The sequence below is a fragment of the Homo sapiens genome, chromosome 3 (assembly GCF_000001405.40).
Source record: "Homo sapiens chromosome 3, GRCh38.p14 Primary Assembly".
Classification (NCBI taxonomy): Eukaryota; Metazoa; Chordata; class Mammalia; order Primates; family Hominidae; genus Homo; species Homo sapiens.
This window is the reverse complement of record NC_000003.12, coordinates 69,048,632-69,054,644: the sequence shown is the minus strand read 5'-3', so window position 1 is coordinate 69,054,644 and position 6,013 is coordinate 69,048,632. Positions and strand designations below refer to the sequence as shown.

At 42.5% G+C, this 6,013-nt stretch overlaps 1 protein-coding gene and 1 non-coding gene across 3 annotated transcripts in view, besides 1 other annotated feature; both read left to right on the top strand.

Annotated features, from left to right (window-relative positions):
- Window positions 2,251-2,720: an enhancer, noted in NCBI's record as "active region_20050". NCBI's record gives its function as "activates an Ori minimal core promoter by ATAC-STARR-seq in GM12878 lymphoblastoid cells {active_cell/tissue: GM12878}" and the evidence as "EXISTENCE:reporter gene assay evidence [ECO:0000049][PMID:35858748]".
- Window positions 2,312-6,013, top strand: part of TMF1 (TATA element modulatory factor 1) — a 32,507-nt gene continuing 28,805 nt past the window's right edge. For both annotated transcript variants that reach the window (NM_007114.3, NM_001363879.1), the window contains exon 1: window positions 2,312-2,700. In NM_007114.3, coding sequence (NP_009045.2) covers window positions 2,559-2,700 — 142 coding nt within the window. In that variant the 5' untranslated portion in view covers window positions 2,312-2,558. The remainder of the gene's footprint in view (window positions 2,701-6,013) is intronic.
- MIR3136 (microRNA 3136) lies at window positions 5,610-5,687 on the top strand. The gene has a single exon (NR_036087.1). It is a non-coding gene; the product is annotated as a microRNA 3136 (primary transcript).

Below are 6,013 nucleotides of genomic sequence, written 5' to 3'. Positions count from 1 at the left end.
GAGTTATATCAAATTTTTATTGCACTTAATACTTTTGCTACAGCAATTTCTATAGTAAAAATTTACTGGTTTAATTTAACTTTCTGTATCAATATAATTTTTTTTTTTTTTTTTTTTGCGACAGAGTTTCGCTCTTGTTGCCCAGGCTGGAGTGCGATGATGCAACCTCAGCTCACTGCAACCTCTGCCTCCCCGGTTCAGGCAATTCTCCTGCCTCAGCCTCCGGAGTAACTGGGATTACAGGCGCCTGCCACCATGCACGGCTAATTTTTTGTATTTTTAGTAGGGACGGGGTTTCACCACGTTGGCCAGGCTGGTCTCAAACTCCTGACCTCAGGTGATCCACCCCCCCCCGCCCCCCTCGGCTTCCCAAAGTGCTGGGATTACAGGCATGAGCCACCATGCCTGACCATGTTTTTGTTTCTTTTAAGTGAATAAAACTTCAAACAAAATTAAGTACAAATACTAAAAAAGTAGGTGCTAGTATTTTAATATGAGAACATGTATGTGTTCTCATTCTTTGTTTTTGACTTAGATATGGCAGTTTTCTGTTCAAATGTTTTTTGGTTACTTATGTGTCACTGAGTTAAGTTTTCAGTAATCTTTCTAGCTACATATTGACAAATAAGTTTTATTATAAAACCATACGGAATAAATTTATAAGCTCTACCTGAAAAGTTACAGGTGTAGCTTACAATTTTGAAAGTGAAGGAACTAAAATTTAGCACCATATAGGTGCTATAATAATTCTCAAAGTAGCATTGTAAGAAGGTGACTCTATCTGAGAGCTGAATAAATAGTTTTAGATGGTTTAGGTAGGTCATTTCACCAAAGCTGTACAATTAGAAGTCTTGGAACTGTAACTGTACAGCTAATTTCAACCCGAATCTGCCCCAAATCTCCTCTGCAGACTACTTAGCTGTTTGAAAGTACTTGAGTTACTTGGTACTACTTGTGTACATGACTAAATTGTTAGTTTTAACATGCAAGTTTTTACTGTAGTTAGATAAAATTATTGGAAGATGATTATAACTTCTTAAGGGGTTCAATCTGATTTTTTAAAAGAAAAATAATTCTTTTTTGCAGAGTTCCTTGCAGTGGGGTAAAATATTCAAATATGGGAGGCAGGCATATAAGGTAAATAATCACAGCAGGGAGGGTGTAATAGGATGAGTGATAGGGGTCTGTGGCAAACTGGAGTGAGTGAAAATTATTTGGTGACCACTCTGGCTGACTATTCCCATGCTTGGTATTCATATTTTTCAAAAGCAGCTGGAAATCTAGATTTTTGAATGAAATCTGGCTTTTAGTTAGGATTTTGTCTTTAACTTGGGCCCAAACCAAATATAGCTGCAGACTGGATTAGGAAGGCCACCAATTTAAGGTATTTTCCCATGTCCAAATGTTCGAAGAGAATGCACACAGAAAAGGTTATGTTTTAAGTAATATGCACAGTGCACATTGTTAGGATAACAGCTTTAGTGCTTCCTAGGTGTCTTAGTCCATTTGGACTGCTGTAACAAATTGCCATAAACTGGGTGGCTTATAAGCAGTAGCAATTTGTTTCTTAACAGTTCTAGAGGCTGAGAAGTCCAAGATAAGGAGCCGGCAGATTTGGTGTCTGGTGAGGGCTGCTATTCTGGCTTAGAGTTGGTGCCTTCTTGCCGTGAGCTCCCTTGGGCCTCTCTTATAAGGGCACTAACCCCATTTATGAGGGCTCCATCATCATCTAATCATCTCCTAAAGGCTCCCCTTAATACTGTCCCATTGGAGATTAGGTTTCAACATAGGAATTTGTGCAGGGGACACCGACAGACCACAGTATTAGGGGTATTTTGACTGCAGCAATGAGTTTACTACTATTTTGAGAGAGAGGTTGTGCTTTATGCACCATGTGTTCCACGAGTTGGACACAGTGTTCATACGTGATCCTGTCTTTTAGGCAAGCCCAAACAAGTGTTTCTCCTTACAATACCAAGTTAATACAGAGCTTATTAAATATTTGAGACAAAGGGCTAAGAGAAGTGTGAGGCCCAATTTCCCTTTGCAATTATTGCTGGCAAGGTGCAAGCTTTTAGCACGTGAACTATTTTCCTGGAAAGCACACACACGAAAACTTGAATATTCCTTCCGGGGAAATCGACCTCTATCGGTAGCCATAGCTTCCCCTTCGCTAAGAACTGCTGTAAGCACGAAATCGACATCAATAGAAACCCTTCCGCGTTCCTCGGTAACTAACGGCAACCCTGCGCTCCCGGATGTGACGTCAACGTTCTTCTGTTCTTCCGTCTGTCGACCGAACTCTGGGCTCGTAGATTTGGTTGCTGTGTACGTGGAAGAAGCAAGCGCATGCGCACATGGGCCCCCTTCGTCTCAGCTGTGCGGGAACGGCCGAGGGTAACATCCCGGGCTCGCGGGAGGCTGTCGGGGTAATGGCCACACGCTGACAGAACCAGCCGAGTGGAAAAGGGGAGCGAAGCCGTTCCTCTGCACCCTTCCCCAGGCCTGAGGCCTTCCCGCTTGGTGCTGCCGCCGCCACTGCCGGCTGAGGAGGGGCGATGAGTTGGTTCAACGCCTCCCAGCTCTCCAGCTTCGCTAAGCAGGCCCTGTCCCAGGCCCAGAAGTCTATTGACAGGGTTCTGGACATCCAGGAAGAGGAGCCGAGCATCTGGGCCGAGACCATTCCGTATGGAGAGCCGGGTAAGAGAGAGAGGAGCGGGGTTCCTGGCTCCCGGAGGCTGCTGTTCTCTTGATGCAGGCAGGTTAAGTGGTGTAGAGAGGGGTCCTTCCTTGCTGAGAGAGTTTTCAGGAAGTAATTTCTCCCCGGCCCGTTCCCTAATGCTGCTTCAGCCTCCAAGTCGGTCTTTGCTGTTTTCCTGAGGGAAAACCCAGATCCAGGTTCCCCCTTGTCTTTCTTTGGTCCTGGGTGCGAGGCTTGTGGACTTGGATGACAGGGGACTTGGTTGGTTGGTCTTGCCCTCAAGCTCTCCCTCGACGCAGCTTCCAAGCACAACCTTCCCGAACCTGAACCTCGAATTGCTTCGCGTCTCGGGCACTGTTGGGATCCAAGGTCTGAAGTACGTAAATCATCAGGGAAGGGAAGAACAATCGCTAACAGTCAGTGAACATTTCGCGCTTGGTAGCGCGTAATGTGGTTTTATGTTGTTGTTGAGACGGAGTCTCACTCCGTCGCCCAGGCTGGAGTGCAGTGGCGCGATCTCGGCTCACTGCAACCTCCGCCTCCCAGGTTCTAGCGATTCTCCTTCCCCAGCCTCCCTAGTAGCTGGGATTACAGGCGCCCACCACCACGCCCGGCAACTTTTTGTATTTTTAGTAGGGACGGGGTTTCACTATGTTGGCCAGGCTGGTGGAACTCCTGACTTAAGGCGATCCACCCACCTCGGCCTCCTAAAGTGCTGGGATTACAGGCACGAGCCTGTAATGTGCTTTTTTATGGCCTTCTCATCTTCAGAACAACTCCCAGAGAGAGCTTGGTTTATATCCGTGTTTTACATAAGAGGAAAATGAGGCCCAGAATGGCCAAGTAACTTGCTCTAGGTCACACGGCGGAGGAGGATTAGAATGTGCCGGAGGTATTAGCCGGAAAATGTGTGACCCAAGATTTCTGGATGGTATCACATTTTATTTCTGAATAGCCAAGTCTCTCTTTGCAGTTTCATTGAGCTTAATCTTTCAGGGATCTTCATTCAGTTGCTTTTGACTCTTAAGTCTAAGGAACAGTTCAGCATTTGATGTGTGGGGTAAAGATTTGCTGGTGTTGGGGGATGTGAACCTTTGTGTGAAAAAGGATAAGAGATGTACTTGACTACTCCTTTCTGGTTTCTGTTCTTAATTTTACATCATTGAAAAGTCAGGACCTAAATTTGAGGTACCTCAGTTTAAGATATTTTGGTCCATGTGTGTATGTGATGATCCTCTTTACTTTTTACAAGATGTCATATAACCTTGCTGGAGTAACTCTGTTTTTTCATATGTGCCCCAGTTAATTAGAATTACTAAACTTTAGATAAGATAGAATATAGGTTTTACATATAAGGATATTTGTTTTCGGAAAATGCCCATAGTCTTCAGAATGGTATAATTTAGATGGATACCAAATAACCCTGGGATTATATAAAGTATTCTCCAAGAGGCAAAATTAATTCCTGTCATCTTTTGAATGTATTTAAATTAATCAGACATAATCTTGGTTGTTCATTTGCATATTTAATTTTGATTTTCTCTGGTTTGGATATTGTGCAAATGAATGTGTAGAACTATGCCTCCAAACTGAAGTTTTCTACATACTTTTCATCCTAACTGCCTTTGAAGTCATACATATATTTACATATATATATATTTGTTTTTTTGTTTTTTTTTTTTTTGAGACACAGTCTCACTCTGTCATCCAGGCTGGAGTGCAGTGGTGCCATCTCTGTTCACTGCAGATTCTGTCTCCTGAGCTCAAGTGATTCTCGTGCCTCAACCTCCCGAGTAGCTGGGATTGCAGGTTTGCGTCACCACACCTGCCTAATTTTTGTAATTTTAGTAGAGACAGGGTTTTACCATGTTGGCCAGGCTGGTCTTGAACTCCTGACCTCAGGTGGTCCGCCCGCCTCGGCCTCCCAAAGTGCTGAGATTACAAGCGTGAGCCACTGCGCCTGGCCTGAAGTCATATTAAAGGATAGATTCTACTATAAGGCTTGATAGTTTTTAGAAGCTTTTAGTTACTTGTGCTCTCTCCACCAACTTCTAATTGTGAATATTTTGTGAATATTTTGTTCAGCCACATTTTAATTTGAAAAAGAAAACATTTTTAAAGAAATGCTTTAAATACTTTAACGAATATACCATTTTTAAGATCCTGATTATGCCATTTTTAAAAATCAGGATTTTAGTAGTAGCTATTTGTATGACTGATATGATAATTAACTTTTTCCCCAAGAAAACAGTCATTTTCTTTGTAGCGCTTTTTTAAAAACCCTAGTGTCAACCACCTCTATGTCAAAGAGCAATAGTTCTTAAAAAAACACACATTTCTGAAATTTATAATGACCTTGTAATTTCTGACATAATTTAGAATTTGAGAACAAAACTTCCTCTTAGAGTGGGCTTGGAGAGTGGGATTTAGAGAATCAGCCTGTGATTAAGTGGATGAAAATGAATTTGTTCTCTAGAACTTACCATTCCCATCAGTTTAATATGATCTTCGGGAAAGAACATTTGTCACCATTATCTTGGTTTGAGGCTTTTGTTGTTTTGTTTGTTTTCGAGACAGGTTCTCGATCTGTCACCCAGGCTGAAGTGCAGTGGTTTGATCATGGCTCACTGCAGCTTCCACCTCCTGGGCTCAGATGATCTTCCCACCTCAGCCTCCTGAGTAGCTGGGACCACATATGTGGGCCACCAGGCCCAGCTAATTAAAAAAATTTTTTTGTAGGGACAGGGGTCTCACTATGTTGCCCAGGCTTGTCTTGAACTCCTGGACTCAAATGACTCTTCTAGTGTTGGGATTATAGGTGTGAACCTCCATACCCACTGAGTTCAGTTTTTGAGTGTTGCCCTTTGTCTAGCTCATAACTATATTACTGATATTACAAGTAAAAATTAATATGAAACTGACTGAATAGGTAGGGTCATTTTTCTGTGACTGCACATGGCCCAACCTATTCAGTTAGTTCCATATTAGTTTATTTCATATTGATAAGTAAAGCGTGTTATTATGAGATGAATCATAGGTATCTTGGACTTACTGTGGGTTATAAAACATATACTGTTACTTCCTTAATTTGTTGTGGGGAGGAATAACATACTCGCATCTGGTAGTCCAGGCCAGGCCCAGTCTTTTGTCTGTGCTCCTCCTTCCTCTCAGGTGGACCCACACCAGTTTTCTTCCGTAAGTCCCTGTATTAACTTGGAAACTACTTAATGATGTAGTAAGCAAGGAGTTTAGCAGGTGCAAATTACAGGTATTTCATAGGGTATTTTTTCTAAATTTATATTTATACTGATT